An 18,219-nucleotide genomic window follows, 5' to 3' on the forward strand; every position below is an offset into this window, starting at 1 on the left:
AACAAGCCCTGCCCCAGCCATGAACTTATGGAGCAGATATTCAGAGCCCACAGAACAGGAAAAGCAGAGGCGAGGTAGGGAGTGAGCATCCAGGCCCAGATGTATCGATAGAACAAGAAGAGTGGGGGACCCAGAGGGGTGAATACAGGGAGGTAGGGGTCCAGGCCAGCCCCTCATTTCACAGACTTGGACATTGAGGCTCAGAGAGGTCAACGATTACTCAGGTAACAGAGCAAGATGTCAGGGGTCCCAGGAGCAGAGCCCTGTCTCCCAGCCTAGTGTCCTTTCCACAGCAACTACGGTCCATTTGGTCCTCATCCTGTGCTATGCTGGGATGTCCTGAACCGTCATTTACATCTGCTGTCATTTCACTATTCACCTGTTTATAGCTTATCTCCGCAAGCACATTGCAAATTTCTCAAAAGCTGGGATCTTGAGGCACCCGCCTTGTGATCCCTCATAGCACACATAGCCTTCTAGGCACCAACAGTTAGTCAACTTGATTTCTAAGCAGCCAACACGGAGAAAAGGCCAGAGGTGATGTCATGGGCTGGTGAAATGTTTGAGGAACACTTGCACTTCCTTCTGGAAAGGCTACTCCTAGTCATACCGGATCTGTATGTGAGAATAACAGTAATACCCCCAGAACCTGAATCCTCAACTTCTCATCTGATTGGAAATGATACTCTGTATTTATATAAATATTAGAATCACATAATCCCAGGGCTTGAGGGTTCAAAGATACTCCCTTGAATGTAAGCCAAGAACCCAGTGCCACTCCTTTTACCACTCTCGTCCCCACCATCAGAATCTCTCTCCTAAGCAGTTCTTGCTCTGGCTTTCTGTCTGCAGTGGCTGCGGGGATGGGTATATCTAGCACAACAAGACAGGCCATGAGGATGGGACAGCACTAAGGGACACCATTTTATTTATTTATTTATTTTTGGAGACGGAGTTTCGCTCTGTCACCCAGGCTGGAGTGCAATGGCACAATCTTGGCTCACCACAACCTCCACCTCCCGAGTTCAAGTGATTCTCCTGCCTCAGCCTCCCGAGTAGCTGGGACTACAGGCGTGCACCAGCATGCCTGGCTAATTTTGCATTTTTAATAGAGATGGGGTTTCACCATGTTGGTCAGGCTGGTTTCTAACTACTGACCTCAGGTAATTTGGCCACCTCAGCCTCCCAAAGTGCTGGGATTACAGGCGTGAGCCACCGTGCCCAGCCAAGGGACACATTTTTAAACAATGCAAATATAGATTATTTTTTGTGCGAGGGTTTGGTGGGCTGACAGGAGAGGAGGCTGAGCGACCCAAGCTGTGTTCCTGCGGAAAGGACACTGGAGCCATGTTCCCATGAAGTGGGAAGTGACGAGAAAGTTTCTTCTATTTCATTTTCGCATCTTAAAATTATGTGATTGGATAAAGAAACCTTGAGGTCTCTCTCCTCGTTCTTTTATGCGAAGACTCTCTAAATTCAGGGAAGGAATGAAGAGCAATGATAAACATGAACGCAAGCCCTGCATTATGTGTTCTGCACGTTTCATCTCACAGCAACACTAAGATGTAGGTAATGTTTGCAATCCCTATTTCACACCTGAGGAAGCTGAGACCCAGAGGAATAAAGCACTCAAAGTTATACATCTAGTCAGTGATGAGGGCAGGATTTGAACCCAGGCAGTCTAGATGCATTTTGGAGGAGGGTAGTACTGGCATCCCAGCCTCCATGGAGAAGCGAGGCTGCTGTTCCAGTCAGCGGTCCTCCAGGGACAGGAGGCCTGGCTCCTGGGTTCCCAAGACTCAAGCACCAGCAGCAGCAGAAAGAGGTGGGGAGAAGAGGAGGAGGAGGAGGAGGCTGGCTACCCCTCTGTTTAGGGCACACACATACCTTGCCGATTAGCAACGATGGGAAAGGAAACACACAGTGAGGGCCCTTGACAGCTTAATGGGATTTTAGAAAAATACACATCCATATTTTTAAACTTTTTTTTCCATTCGAACATTTTTAGCTTCCAGCTCTGAACTGAAATAGCAACTGTCTTAGATAATTCTTCATCCTTAGGCTCCCACATTTGGAAAAGGTCTCAGCCTAGCCGGGGGAAAAGAGAGACAGAGAGAGGATATACAAGCTTAGCACATAGATAATACATCTGGCACATAGATAACAGATGCTGAATGGATGGATAAATGGATGGATGGATGGATGGATGGATGGACGGATAAATGGATGGATGGACGGATGGATGGATGGATGGATGCATGGATGGATAAATGGATGGATGGATGGATGGATGGATGGTTGGATGGATGGATGGATGGATAAATGGATGGATGGATGGATGCATGGATGGATAAATGGATGCATGAGTGAATGGGTAGATAGGCAAGAGAAGGAATATGGTGGGAAAGAAAGAAAACATGTTCACCCATGAAATTCTCCTGAGAATTATACACCCTTCTGGAAAGATATACTTACACTTTTCGCCACTAACCAAACCCAGAGTCATAGTTAATGGACTGACAGCCTTCCTGTAGCTTCCAGGGCCTGGCTTTCTAGAAGTGGTTTTAGCCAAACCTGTAGCAATGTGGCACTGACAATTCAGTTCCCATCTACCAGCCCCATTTCCAGTTGCTTCTTGTGTCTTCTGTCTACTCTGGACCACTCACATTTCCTCTATGCATACTGTGGCAGAACCCATGGCTTGACTTGATGAACACTCATTCCAGTCCCCTTCCATATTACCTTCCTCTGCTGCAAAGGGTGAAAAGAGAAATACCCCAATTCCCACTCTCCCCTGCAGGTAAGGTACCAAGTGACATCACTCTGATGGGTTTGAGGCAGGCAGAAGTCCAAGAGACAGGCTTCCCACCAAAATAAATGGGCAAAACTTTGTCCATCATTTCCCCCTTCTTCCTGCCTGGAACTCTGACATAATGTTTGCAGGTGCAGCAACCATCATGTGATGAAGACAACAAAAGCCTTGATCCAAGATGTCAGAGCAAGAGGATACAAAGAGTCTCCCAGCCCTGGGCTCTTTCCTTCTGGTCTCCCAGTTAAATGAGAAAGATGAGCCCCTTACTTATTTAAGCCACTAGGTTAGAGTTTTCTGCTACTACCTGCTAAATACAATCTTAACTGATACACAGGTGTGAACAAGAGTTCTCTGAAAAGGAATTTGGAGGAAAGAGACTTCATTCCAGTGAACAGGTGGCAAACCTGAGAGATGCAGCAGCCCATGTAAGACCAAGGTACATTCCAGAGAACAAAGGAAGGGTTCCGGTTTCACAGCAAATTTCCCACCCAGGTTCCCAATCAGGTCCGTTTATACAAATGAAGGACTGACACTCGCTTAGTTCTGACTGGTCAGTACGACTGAATTTTAATTGTTCCATACAGCTAAACCCCGATTGATCAAGGCAGGTGGGCTCTGATTGATTGGTTCAGGTGAGATTTGTCAGTCCCCACATCGAACAGAGGTATGGGTTTTGGGGAAACTCCGAGTATGTGTGTGACCTCTAGTTATCCAGTAGCCATTTTGCTCTGTTTGAATTTAGGCCCAGTTAGCCATTGGGGATCCATCTTGAAATATTGGCTCTTTCAGGTTCACATTTGTTCACAAAGTCATGCATTTTAGGGCTTCATACCTTTGTCTGTGTGACTCCCCCTGCCTGAAATGCCATTCCCTGCCTTTCCTCACTAAAGTGCAGACACTAAACACATATTTTAAATGTAGAATTAAATTGGAAGTGCTGTGAAGTAGAACTGAGCAATACTTTCTTTTAAATGCAACTCCCCCCAACCCTACCCAGAATCTTTAATTTCTTCCTATCTTGGGAGTGCCATCCACTTTGTCTAAAGAAATGCTCCCGTCACCCCAATCTTGAACAAATTTTGGTTTGCGCTTGCTTCCTCTTTGAACTATCAATTTTCTCTACCCTTACACTCTCAGAAACTGTACTCGGTTTTTCTCCTAAAGGGAATATGGTGAAAGGTCAGGGGAGTCACACAAGCTGGGATCAAATCTGACCTCCACTACCTCCATGGGTAGCATGAGAATAATCATTTCCATTTCACAGAGTTGTAGGGAGAATTAAGCTTGGTAATGCATTTGAAGTGCATGACACAGTGTGGAACTTAAATGCTAGTCCCCTCAGCCTTCTAATGGCTTTTGTTTCCTTCCTTCTTTCCTCCCTTCCTTCCTTCCTTTTTTCTTCTTTTTTTCTTTCAGCACCATTTATTAAGTGCATTCTAGGCACTGGGCTAGTTCAAGAGATTCCAAGTTGAATGAAGCATGACTCATTCCCCCGCTTCTTTCCCTCCTCAATGTGATCTCAAGGTTTAATCCTCACTCACATTTTGTGCTTTCAGTGCTTTGTTTCTCAAAGATCTCATCCACTTTCACAGCTTCAAGCTCCAACTCCTAGTGAATCAATCCCTCCCGAACTTGAAAAACTAGGGCTGACTTTTCTCTTAGATGTCATGCCCCATTCCCAACTCCCCGGATACCTCTGTCCCTGGAGGTCCTGCAGTCAGCTGTACTCTTTCTTTCAAAGCAAGAAAACACTTGTTAAATATATTTATTTGTCCAAAATCCCTGAGGGGTAGTGGGGAACAGGCATAATACATATTCACCACCCTTATCAAATAATAAGGCTATTAAGTCACAAGATACTCTTTTTTTTGAGACACTCTTATTGCCCAGGCTGGAGTGCAATGATGCCATCTCAGCTCACTGCAACCTCTGTCTCCTGGGTTCAAGCAATTCTTCTGCCTCAGCCTCCCGAGGAGCTGGGATTATAGGTGCCTGCCACCACGCCCAGCTAATTTTTTGTATTTTTAGTAGAGACAGGGTTTCACTGTGTTGGCCAGGCTGGTCTCGAACTCCTGACCTCAGGCAATCCCCTCGCCTCAGCCTCCCAAAGTGCTGGGATTACAGGCGTGAGCGACCGCACCCAGCCCGATACTCTCTCTTTCTTAAAACTGACCTAAAGTTGATAAGATATTTGGTTGTAATGCTGTGAATGAACCAGTGCAATGGAGTCTCTTGTCAATATTGAAAACCTTGGCTCCCAGGGAGAAGGAAGACAGAAAATAGGTACAGCTGAGCCCACATTGACAACCTTAGCAGCCTGTGTGGGGAATTCTGGGCTGCAGACTTCTGAGAGTGTTTTTCTTATGCAGAGGGACCACATTTGTCCCTTCCCCTGGGGATGAGCCTTAGGCCTTGGCTTTGCCCAAAAGCCCCTCCCCTGCATCTCCACTTGGATATTCCCTGAATGCTTAGTTAGCTCCAATCAGTCCCAGTTCTCTGCAGCCATAACCCTGGGGGCCCCACCAAGCACAAAATGGGGGCTTTCTGCAAAAAGCCACCACCCATCCCCTGGCCCTTCTCTCTTCTCAGAGCACTGCCATGCCACCAGTCGGGCCCTTTGCTCAGCTCTCCAGCTGACCCACAGCAAAAGGGCAGAAGGCAGAGGGCAGAGGGCAGAAAATAACTCATGAGAACCAAAAACAAAACCCCATTGGAACCACAAATGGAAATGGCTTGGGGAAAAAGGGTCCTGGGATGCTTGGGCTATTAATAAAGAGTGTGTGCCTCAGCCCTCTTCTCCCAGGGCACAGGCCTGACCAGCTCATGGCTGGGGACGTTTATTCTTGGGAAGTCCCCAGCTTGCCAGATAAAATGTGCCCTAGAACCCATTCACTCCGGAAGCCCCCCCCCCAACACACACACACACACACACACACACCTGCACACACAATTTTTGCCTATCGAGTCTTCTAGGTGCTGCCTTACCTTTAATCCCTGTAAGGGAATAAGTAAGAACAAATGGTAGTTGAGGTCCAAGTGTTCCTGGTTATGAGGGGTTCAGACTCCTAAGACCTGGTCTTAGCCTCACTTGGTTGGAAGTAACGATGTCTTTGTACTTACCCTCTACAATCCTGGGAAGATGGAACCACCAGGACTTGTTCTCTACACCGGTCAGGGACAGACAGACACATAAACTTGCCCCAGATTGATAGGGAAAATTCCCTAGAGCTTTCATCTCCTAAAGTTGTCTGCCTTCTTCAGCTTGAGTAATTTTGGTAGCCAATGGATTTGTAATTTCCATGCCTTACTCGCATTTCCTACCACTTTTCCCTTCTTTACTGTCCCAGGATTGTGAAGAACCCTAGAGAATACTCGGGTATGGGATACGCCAGAAGAGCTAGCCCTTCCCAGCTCACATCTTGGAAAACAGCGTGTGAACCAATTAGCACCTCTCAGCCATGAAGAAAACGTTGAGTCACAGCCTTGTACATGAGGTTCTCAGAGTGAGATGGGACCACATAGGGCCAACCTGCCCAGCCCCTGCCTGCAGGCGGAGAAGGCGTCATGCCCGTTGCACTGATGAGGCTACTGAGACAAAAGAGCCTCCATCTGGAGCAAAGCTAAGCTGGTCTGCACATCTGCTGGGTCCAGCTGCTTCCTGAGGGTGTCACAGCCTTGGGGTTTCTCCTGGCTCTTCACTCCCTGATACCCTCTGAGCCAACCTGGTGCGGGGGGAACAAAGGCACAGGATCCCGACCATCCCAAGAGCATTTAGCTTGGTTAGGGCCCCCAGGATAAGCTGCTCTCAATTTGATTCAGGAAGAGCATGTGTGTGTGGTTTGGTTTGGTTTGGTTTTTTAGAGACAGGGTCCGACTCTGTCGCCCAGGCTGGAGTGCAGTGGTGCCATCATAGCTCACTGTTACCTCGAGGTAACAGTGGTAACTCCTGGGCTCGAGATTCTCCTGCCTCAGCCCTCCAGAGTAGCTAGGACTACAGGTGCATACTCCCATGTCCTGCTAATTTTTTATTTTTTTGTAGAAACTAAGTCTCTCTGTTGCCCAGACTGGTCTCAAAATCCTGGCCTCAAGCAATCCTCTCCCCTCAGCCTCCAATCCTCCAATCCTCAATCCCAAAGTGATAGGATTATAGGCGTGAGCCACCACACCTTGCCATGTGTGTTTTTATTAGCACTGGCATGGAGATTAAGTTCCATCCAGACCACCGCTGTGCAGTGTGGGAGGCAGTGTGGCATAGTAGGAACTGTGCTAGACTGGCCTGGGTGTCAGTTTCTATTCTTCCCTTTGCAAGTTACACAGGTGACCTTGGACCACTTACAAACTTCTGGAGCCCCAGTTTCCTGATCTGTGTGATGTGGGCTATAATGACTCCTCAAGGGTTTGTTGGGCAAGTTTCTTGAAAACTCCTAAGTGCCACGCAGATATTACTGTGAAGCTCTTTGTGTCTTTGCTAGCCAAGCAGAAGACAGCAGCAACCACTCTGCTTTGTACATAGATGTTTGTTCTTCTCACTATGGAGCCCCCAGCATCTAGCACAGCTCTGAGTACACAGTAGGCATAGAAAACTATTTGTTAAATAAATGAACAGTGTCATGGACTGAATGCTTGTGTCTGCCCTCCAAATTCACACGCTGAAATTTTAACCCCAAGGTGATGGTATTAGGAGGGGAGACTTTGGGAGGTAATTAGGTCATGAAGGTGGAACCCAAGGGAATGGAATTAGTACCCTTATAAAATATGAGACCCCAGATTGGGCACGGTGGCTCACACCTGTAATCCCAGCACTTTGGGAAGCTAAGGCGGGCGGATCACCTGAGGTCAGGAGTTCAAGACCAGCCTAGGACCAACATGGAGAAAGCCCATCTCTACTAAAAATACAAAATTAGCTGGGCGTGGTGGTGCACACCTGTAATCCCAGCCAGATACTCGGGAGGCTGAAGCAGGAGAATCGCTTGAACCCGGGAGGCGGAGGTTGCGGTAAGCCAAGATCTCGCCATTGCACTCCAGCCTGGGCAACAAGAGCGAAACTCTGTCTCAAAAAAAAAAAAGAAAGAAAAAAGAGACCCAAGGCTGGGCATGGTGGCTCACGCCTATAATCCCAGCACTTTGGGAGGCTAAGGTGGGCAGGTCACTTGAGGTCAGGAGTTTGAGACCAGCCTGGCCAACATGGAGAAACCCCATCTCTACTAAAAATACAAAAATTAGCCGGGTATGGTGGCGGGTGCCTGTAATCCTAGCTACTCGGGGGGCTGAGGCAGGAGAATTGCTTGAACCCAGGAAGCAGAGGTGTCAGTGAGCCGAGACTGTGCCACTGCACTCCACCCTGGGTGACAGAGTGAGGCTCTGTCAAAAAAAAAAGGAAAGAAAGAAAAAGAAAGAAAGGGAGAGTGAGAAAGAAAGAAGAGAAAGAAGAAAGAAAGAAGAGAAAGAAGAAAGAAGAGAAAGAAAGAAAAAGAAAGAAAGACCTCAGAGAGTTCTCTCACGCTCTTTCTGTCATGTAAGCACACAGTGAGAAGCTAGTCATCTGCAACCAGGAAACAAACCCTCACCAGAACAGGACCATGCTGGCACCCTGATCTCAGACTTCCAGCCTCCACAACTCTGAAAAATAAATGTCTGTTGTTGATAAGCCACCCAGGCTATTTACTGGTGCTTTGTTATAGCAGCCCAAACTAAGACAGTGAGCTCATATCAACCTGTTGTTTTAGTAGGCAAATGCCATCAACATAGCCCCTTTGTTTAAAGCTGATGTTTTATCTTAGTATTAGGTGAGCATCTGTGGCCTGGCGTGTAAGAAGATTTCAGCTTTGGTTCAGGGCTTGCTGGCTACTTAGATCAGAAATATCAGACCAGGCTGCTTGGTATAGGATTAGTCCAAGCCACCTGTGGTGTGAGTGCCACTGGGGATCAATGTGGGCACCTGTCATGCCCCATCACAACAGACATCATAACAGAAGCACCTTGGCTGAGTAAGCCAGGAGTCCCCAGTGGTGGGCACAGCCACAGTACCGTGCATGTTTATAAGGTGCCAGACGTACTGCATCATTTGTCTTGTTCAATGCACACAGTGCTCTATTAAGTGGGTGCTTTTTTTGATCCTTGTATTTCAGGCAAGGACACTGAGCCTTAAAGAGGTTATTTGCTGAAGGTCACCCTGTTATTAAGTAGAAGAGCTAGGATTTGGAGTTTAGACTCTTTGACTCAATTCTTTAACTGCTGTGACTACCATGAACCACATTGCAGAGCAAAGAACCAGTCACAGAATCACAGATTGCACTAGATGGACTCAGTCCAGACACCTCATTTTGTGCATGCGGCCGAGAGCCATCCACAGATTGGGGGCCACACAGGGCCTAGAACCCAGGCCCCTGTAGTTAAAGTCCATGCTGTCTGCAGCCCCGTCCACTCCTCTGTTCTGGCTGCTACGTTCCCACCACCCACCTTCCCACTGCCCCAAGGTCCTTTCCAAGGCAGGAAACTTACTTCTAGAAGGAACTGAGATTTAACATGGTCCCACACACACCACCATTTCTGCTGGAGACTGAACAGATGATTCATTCACACCACAAGGAAGTGCAACACCAATAATTTAATGAATGGATTGCTGTGGGAAGTGGTGAAAACTTTTAATCTTGAAAGTTTTAAAACGTAGGTATGTTTGCATGCATTGAAAACAATTGAGACCAAAGACGAAGTTTTGAGCTAGCTTCAGATTCAGGGTTTTAGGCCCTATGCCCTCTTTCCATAACAAATATTTCATAACATCCCCCCGTATTATCCTGAAACAAAATTTATAAAAATATAAACTACTTACACATATAATTTTAAAAAGCAATAATGAGTTAATAATAATTTAAACAGATAAAGAAAAAAATTATATATACATGTATGTGTGTATACATATATAATATATATTATGTATTCAGTGTGTAAATGTCTAACCACCATTACACTAAAAGATGCAATGATGCTGAGCGTTGCGGCTCATGCCTGTAATCCCATCACTTTCGGAGGCCAAGGCGGGTGGCTCACTTGAGGCCAAGAGTTCGAGACCAGCCTGACCAACATGGCAAAACCCCATCTCTACTAAAAAATACAAAATTAGCCAGGTGTGGTGGTCCGCACCTGTAATCCCAGCTACTCAGGAGGCTGAGAAACAAGAATCACTTGAACCTGGGAGGCAGAGGTTGCAGTGAGCCGAGATTGCGCCACTGCACTCCAGCCTGGGTGACAGAATGAGACTCTGTCTCATAAAAAAAGATACAATGAGAGATGTTGGATCTTCATGTAAAATCACCACGAAAGCAATAGTTACACAAGCAGGCTGATATCCATCCATGTGTTGTCTTCTTGGCGACTCTGAGTTGGGTTCCCATCAGTGGCGTAATTTTTCTAAACAATAAACAACTGTTATTTACTGAAGTATGGAATGAAATATAAAGTACTGTTTTTCCTCAATATTTACAGTAGTTGTATTCATGGAATATTCGATATATATTAAAACCATGCAAAAATACTTTGGGGTTTTATGTAATATGGAGTTAGAGCTTAAAAGATCAGAAAATTATAACCAGAGTTTTTCAATACATGAATGTCTGGAGAAACATTGGAAAGATGGGTGAAATACAGAACAATTCTTCATTGTACAGGACTGTCCCATGCATGGTGGGACATGTAGCATCCATGGGCCTCACCCACCAGCAAACAAAAGTGCCCCACAGTTTTTCTTTTTTTCTTTTAGTTTTTTTTTTTTTTTTTTTGAGACAGAGTTTCACTCTTGTTGCCCAGGCTGGAGTACAATGGTGCAAGCTCGGCTCACTGCAACCTCCGCCTCCCGGGTTCAAGTGATTCTTCTGCCTCAGCCTCCCGAATAGCTGGGATTACAGGTGCCCACCACCACGCCCGGATAATATTTTGTATTTTTGGTAGAGATGGGGTTTCACCATGTTGGCCAGGCTGGTCTCGAACTCCTGACCTCAGGTGATCCACCTGCTTCAGCCTCCCAAAGTGCTGGGATTACAGTTGTGAGCCATCACGCCTGGCCCCCCACAGTTTTTCAAAACACTTCCAGGGGATGGCATTGCCCTTTTGGGGCCACTGGATTAGATAACCTTTCTGGTTCTCTTCCTTCCAGCCCTTTCATCGTCAAACACCCATGGAAGGTCCATGAAACGCCAGGGTTTGGGCAGGACAATGGGGCCATTGTAAGTTTGGGAGAGGGAGGTTCTGAAAGGGAGAAAATACTGTCCCTACCCTACAGCATGGTGGGAAACAGGGGAAGGGGATAGAAATGGGAAAATAAAGCACATAGCTCCTCCCTTCCAACTCTGAGCATCCTGAGAACAGGAGCTGTGAATTGTATTCATTTTTTTGACCTAGCATAGGCCCTTGCCAGGGGAGGATTCCCAAGTCTTTGCTGCATGTTGAGTGAAGGAAAGGCAGTAAGTTAGAGGCTGCAGCTCTGTTTGTATTTTGTCGTAGAGATAATAGAAATGAAAAGTGGGGTGTTTTTTTTTTTGAAACAATCTCTTGGTGATAGTTATTAACCAAGAACACACTATAGCTCACGTCCCAAGAATGAAAGGGAAGCCAGAAATTGCTTCTGTGACTGGAAGTGGGTCAAGGAAACCAGGAAGGAGCCCTAAGGCAATCCCCCACTCCCAACACACACACACACACACACACACACACACACACACACACACACACACGGAAGCCTCCTTCATTTCTCCTCAATCGACACAGATTGTCCTCCATGGCTGAGGGAGGGGCACAGACCCACATTTTGCAGCTGTCTCCTGCCATTTACAGGTTTGAGGCCAAAGCCACTCCCCTTCCAGCCAAGAAGCGCTTACATGCTCCACAAACGGCAGCAACCAATCGCAGACTGGGTCAACCTTGAAATTTCAGGTAGAGGCTGTTCTGGCTACAGGGAAAAGAAAGTAATACTTGGATTATCTGCTGGGCTGAGCAACCCATGCTTCGGGCACCAGCCAAATGGGGGAGATACAAGATAAAATGTATGTTTGGAAAGATTGCTTTTTTTTTTTTTTAAGCATTAAGGTCGTCATCAAGAAAAAGGATCGAAATTCTGTGGCACTTTCTCACATTCTTTTATGATTTATTTCTGGTTTTATTTTGAACTACCTATGCTGGGGGGTCAGGAGGGCCATAAGCCTTTTAGTGCTCATAGTGAAGTAGACCGTAGTGGCTAATAGTCCAGCCTTTGGGGCCAGACTGGCTGCTTCTTATTGTGTGACTTTGGGGAATGTATTAGTCAGTTTTCATGCTGCTGCTGAAGACACACCTGAAACTGGAAAGAAAAAGAGGTTTAATTGGACTTACAGTTCCACATGGCCGGGGAGGCCTCAGAATCATGGCAGGAGGCAAAAGGCACTTCTTTCAAATATATGTATATATACATATTATTATTATTGTACTCTAAGTTCTGAGATACATGTGCAGAACATGCAGATTTGTTACATAGGTACACACGTGCCATGGTGATTCACTGCACCCATCAATTCATCATCTATATTAGGTATTTCTCCTAATGCTATCCCTTCCCTGGCCCCTGACCCCCCAACAGGCCCCGGTATGTGATGTTCCCCTCCCTGTGTCCATGTGTTCTCCTTGTTCAGCTCCCTCTTATGAGTGAGAACATGCAGTGTTTGGTTTTCTGTTCCTGTGTTAGTTTGCTGAGAATGATGGCTTCCAGCTTTATCCATGACCCTGCAAAGGACATGAACTCATCAAAAGGCACTTCTTATATGGTGGTGGCAAGAGAAAAATGTGGAAGAAACATAAGCGGAAACCCCTGATAAAACCATCAGATCTCATGAGACTTATTCACTATCACGAGAATAGCACAGGAAAGACCAGCCCCTGTGATTCAACTACCTCCCCCTAGGTCTCTCCCACAACACATGGGAATTCTGGGAGATACAATTCAAGTTGAGATTTGGGTAGGGACATGGCTAAACCATATCAGGGAAGTTACTCCTCCTTTGTGATTCAGCTTCCCCATCTTTAAAATTGGATGATGATTATAATACTTACTTCATAAGATTATTAAAAGGATTAGGCCAGTTGCAGTGGCTCACACCTGTAATCCCAACACTTTGGCAGGCAAAGGCGGGAGGATTGCTAGATGCCAGGAGTACAAGATCCATCTGAGCAACATAACAAGACCCCTGTCTCTAAAAACAAATTAAAAATTAGCTAGGCATACTTGTGTGTGGCTGTAGTCTCAGCTGCTCAGGAGGCTGAGGTGGGAGGATCGCCTGAACCCAGGAGTTGGAGGCTGCAGTGAGCTATGATTGTGCCACTGCACTCCAGCCTGGGCAAAAGAGAAAGACCCTGTCTCTGAAAAAATAATTAAGAAGATTAAAAAGAGTTAATATGTATTAAAAAACATATAGAACAGTATTAAGCATGTTGTAAATGCCTTCTAAACATTTGCTACTATTAATGATAATATTATTACTGTTACTGTCAATAAAGATCTTATTCTGGCCCTAGGACAAAGATGGGAGCAACGGCATAGCTATGTGCTCCCAGACCTGTGAGGGAGTCAGCTGCTCAGGGGTTTCTGAATTCTGTGTGGGGAGAGTTGAGAAGGAAAAAACAAGAGAGTTTCTGGGTGTGGGGAGTTTAAGAACACTGGTTTATACCAAGTGCCTGCTTCTCCTCTTCCAGGGTCTCCATCTTGGCCACTGAAAGTGTTTGTAGGCTAGAAAAGTAATTAGAGGACTCTGATTCCAGGGAAGATAGGTCAGAGGTGGCATCCCCCACTGCTAGGGGAGATGTAGGAAGGGGATGTAAGAAGGTCGCTCAGTGACTGTGACTGAGCTGACTGAGAACATCATCCATGTGGCTGTGAGTTCCCATGCAAGCATGTGTGTGTGTCCAAATGTGTGTATATGTCTGTGTGTGAATGTGTGCATGTGTCCTTGTGTGTGCATGTGTTTGTGTGTGTGAATGTGTCATGTGTTTGTGTATGTGTACATGTCTCTGTGTGCACATGTGTTTATGTATGCATGTGCCCATGTGTGCATGTGTGTCCGTGTGTGTGCATGCATCTATGCATATGCACATGTTTGTATGTCTATGTGTGCATGTGTGTCCGTGTGTGTGCATGCATCTATGCATATGCACATGTTTGTATGTCTATGTGTGTATGTGTCCGTGTGTGTGTTTGTGTGTCTCCATGTATGTCTGTGCACATGCACGTGTCTGTGTGTGCATGCCTGTGTGTCTGTGTACGTGCATGTTCTGTATGCATGTGTTCAAGTGTGTCTATGTCCATGTGTGCCCATCTGATATGGTTTGGCTGTGTTGCCACCCAAATCTCATCTTGAATTATAGCTCCCATAATTTCCACATGTCATGGGAGGGACCTGGTGGGAGGAAATTGAATCTTGGGGGCGGGTCTTTCCCATGCTGTTCTCGTGATAGTGAATAAGTCTCATGAGATCTAATGGCTTTATAAAGGGGAGTTCCCCTGCACACGCTCTCTTTCCTGCCGCCATGTAAGAGGTGTCTTTGCTCCTCCTTTGCCTTCCACCATGATTGCGAGGCCTCCCCAGCCATGTGGAACTGTGAGTCCACCAAACCTCTTTTTCTTTATAAATTACCCAGTCTCGGGTATGTCTTTATCAGCAGCATGAGAATGGACTAATGCACCATGCGTGTGCATGTTTGTGTGTGTATGTGTGTCTCTGTGCTTGTGTCCATGTGTGTCCGTGTGTGTGCATGTGTTTGTGTGTGTCCGTGTGTCTCTGTGCTTGTGTCCATGTGTGTCCGTGTGTGTGCATGTGTTTGTGTGTGTCCGTGTGTGTGCATGTGCTTGTGTGTCCATGTGTGTGCATGTGTTTGTGTGTGTCTGTGTGTGTGCATGTGTTTGTGTGTCTGTGTGTGCATGTGTTTTACATCCATGTGCATGTGTTCATGTGTCCATGTGTGCATGCATCTGTGTGTCCATGCGTACCCATGTTTGTGTGTCCATGTGTGCATATGTTCATTTGTGTGCATGTGTGTCTGTGTGTGCATGTTTTTGTATCCATATGTGTGCTCGTGTGTGTGCCTGTGCATGTGTCTGTGTGTGTGTGCCTGTGCATGTGTGCATGTTTGTGAATGTGTGTGTATCCATGTGTGCATGCATGTCCCCATGGGCCTGTCACAGCATTCCTGAGGTGACAGACTTCAGGACAGATTTCAGGGCCACTTCACCCACAGTGGCCACTGAGCACCATATCTCTTTGGTTTTAAGGAACAAACATAAACTTTGGGTCCTCCCAGACCATAATGACTTTATTCTTACTTCCTGGCCTCATTCAGGAATACCTTGGAGAACTGGGTCATCTATTCAACTGGTCAGGAGAACCACCATGATCAGGTACCACACAAGGGCACTAAGATGTTGACATTTATTAAGATCATGCTCTGTGCCAGGCCCTTTCACTCTTCACGGTAATCTTATGAGGTGATCTCATTGAAGAATGGAAATTCTTCCCCAGGAATTTCAGGGGTAGGTATCCTATTTTTATCATTCCAGGGGAGAAAATGGAGGCACAGAAATTTAATAACTTGCCCACATGTACTCATCTTGTGACAGAGTTGGAATTTGGACTCAGGCAGTCTGGCTCCAAAGTCCAGAGTTCATGGTCTCAACCCCCAATCTCTACTGCATGGCTTTGACCCTCTGAGCACTTGCGAGGTGAGAGGCTGGGGGTGAACAATTCACTAGGCTAACTCAAAGAGCCTTGACCTTGGGCAAACAATGTAGCAGAGGATCTCACAGGAAAACAACCAGGTTCACATCCTGGTCTGTTCTCTTTGCAGCTCCTACAGAGGATGCTGTCATTGTTCCTATTACAGTTTCTTCTAGACTCCGGCCCTCATTTAGGGTTTTACATTGGCCATTTCCTGCTGGAGGAGGAGGGGGAGTTTATTACAATCAACTCCACTGCAAAGCGGACTCTCCCCACCCACAGATTTCATAGCAAGAACCCCAGCCCTTCTTTGTCTGTGTCTGAGTTAATCTGGGAGGAGGGAAAGACCCAGGCCCTGCTCTGGCTGTGCGTTCAGCTCAGGCACTTGCTTTATGTTGTTTTCTAGAACTGACAGTGACAAGTGTGGAGACACCTATCCACTGAATCCCATGTGGTAAAGAAAGGGGCATGATGGGTAGGGAGTACAGCACAGACTCATCCTGTCTGCCACTGGGACCTGAGCTTAGCAAAGAGGTAGATCATGAGATAGGGGTGCCAGGAACTAGCCCCCAAAAGCGGAGCCTTACATAGAAGTGAGTCTTCTCTGTGAGGAGGAATTTCCTGTCTTCAGTGAGATCACTAGCACAATCACCAAGAAAAATTGCTTCCGTGGCCTTTGGGTCCTGCTGGCTTTTGCTTCCTAACCACCTTCCAGAAGCCCCCCGAGACTTTGGAGCAACTGACCTGCTTACTGGCTTTTCGTCCTACCCAGATGCCCCACTCCAACTATATTAGCGAGGGTCTGGGTTGCAAGCAATAGAAACTGGCTCTAGTTAACTTAATCAGGAAAATAATTTATTGGAAAGGTCCTGGGCCACCCACAGGATAAACAGGAAGGCCGAAGAAAAAAGTACATGTAGAAGCTAAGGGTGGCAAAGGCCTAGGCGAGTCCTCATCACAGGAATTCAGCGTGGGAGGCTGCTACAGCCATCACTGCCCTACTGGACCCCATCACCTCTGGACACACTTACCCTGCCCCAAAACCCCAACTTCAGCACCACCGCCACCAACAATAACCTTGGATAGAGCCAAGAGTCTTTGTGTGGCCTCTCTAGAACAAAGTCCCAGGCAGGCACCCACAGTTGGCTGTGCCTAAGTCCCTGCTAATGTTCTAGCCTGCCAGGCTGAGCAAAGGGGTGATCTATCCCCCACCTTTGGAATGACCTTGCTGCTCATCTTTTCCGTTGTTTCCTCCCAGATAGAAAGGGCTTGGGGAGGCAGAGGATCTAAAAAGAACTTACCTTACCGCAGATTCTTCTGAAGGAGAGATTAATTAGCTATGTTGGATGGAGAAAGGCAGCCCAAGTCTCTCCTTCAGCTTCTCTGTTACATAAATGGCTGTATTTCCATTTTAGCTAAACTAATTTAAGTATGGTCTTTGTCACTTGTAGCCCAAAGAATCCTGACCCTTACCACCATCTGCCTACCTAAGGTTCTCAACCAAGGATAGCATAGCCCCCAGGGGATCTTTGGAAACATGCAAAGTATTTGTTTGCCTTTCAATGATTGCTGTTGAAAGGTACTAATACCTGAGAGGTATAGCACCGTCAAACACAGCAAAGATAGCCCTTGCCAAATGCCAGTAGTGCTGCTGATGGGAAGCCTTGCACCTACATCAACAATGACAGACATCATGGTCAGCATCTCCAGTCTCCCCACTGGAACTGGACATGGCTTCATCGCTGTCAACATGGTGCAGAGTCATGACAAATTCATCACAGTTGGGAAAACCACGCATTTGCCATCCCTGATTATATACCAACTCCCTGTCCCCACTCCCTTTTTAAAAAGCTATGGAAACTGAGACTTGGAGAGAATGCATCATTTACGCAAGGTCACACAGCTTATTTGGTGGCAGGTGGCAGTCTAGAGTCAGTCTATGGCCTCAGATGAAGGCTCTTTCCACAACACTCTGCTGCCATTGTGTTTTTCACAGAGGCAGGCTTGGAAAGTCTGGACTCGCTTTGGAATGCTCAGGTTTCCAGGGACCTCCCTGAGAGCTCCCAGGTGACTGGCTTCAAGGCTCAAGGCAGGACCCTGGGTCCCACAGTGCCACCTGCAGATGTTGGTGATAAGAGAAAGAGAGGCTCTCTGTGGAAGGGGCTGAACTTTGTGGGCAGACTTGGCACCAAGCAAAAGGAATAAACAGAGAGCTGAAGTTTCACCCAGGGGAGGATGAGGGCTCCATACAGATTTGCAGAGACTTGGCGCAGTTGCTTTAGCCAGATAATCACACAGGAGCTAATTAGCCCCTTCCTTCCCAGCTCAGCCCTCTGGGGCAGCAGGATGCTCAGTGGAGAAGAGAAACCCATTAATTACTTTATCAGGAAGTGCTGATAAGAACCCAAAAAAGGTATTGCTCTAAGGCTCTGAGCTAATTAAAGAAGGCTGCAGGGTGAAGGGATGTGTCTCACCCAGGGAAAGCAGAGCACACACTTTGATCTTGAGCCCCATAGCCCCAGACTGAGCGCAAGAAAGGGCTTCTGGGCCCCCAGGGAAACTTCACCCTTGCAGGTTCAGCAACCCCAAGACTGGGATCATTATGAATGAGGAGTCTGCTGGCAGTCAGGCCAGCTCAGCCTGGGGATGAGGGGTTCTGAAGGAGGCAGTCGGGGT

Source organism: Homo sapiens, chromosome 2 (genome assembly GCF_000001405.40).
Source record: "Homo sapiens chromosome 2, GRCh38.p14 Primary Assembly".
In the NCBI taxonomy this organism is placed as follows: Eukaryota; Metazoa; Chordata; class Mammalia; order Primates; family Hominidae; genus Homo; species Homo sapiens.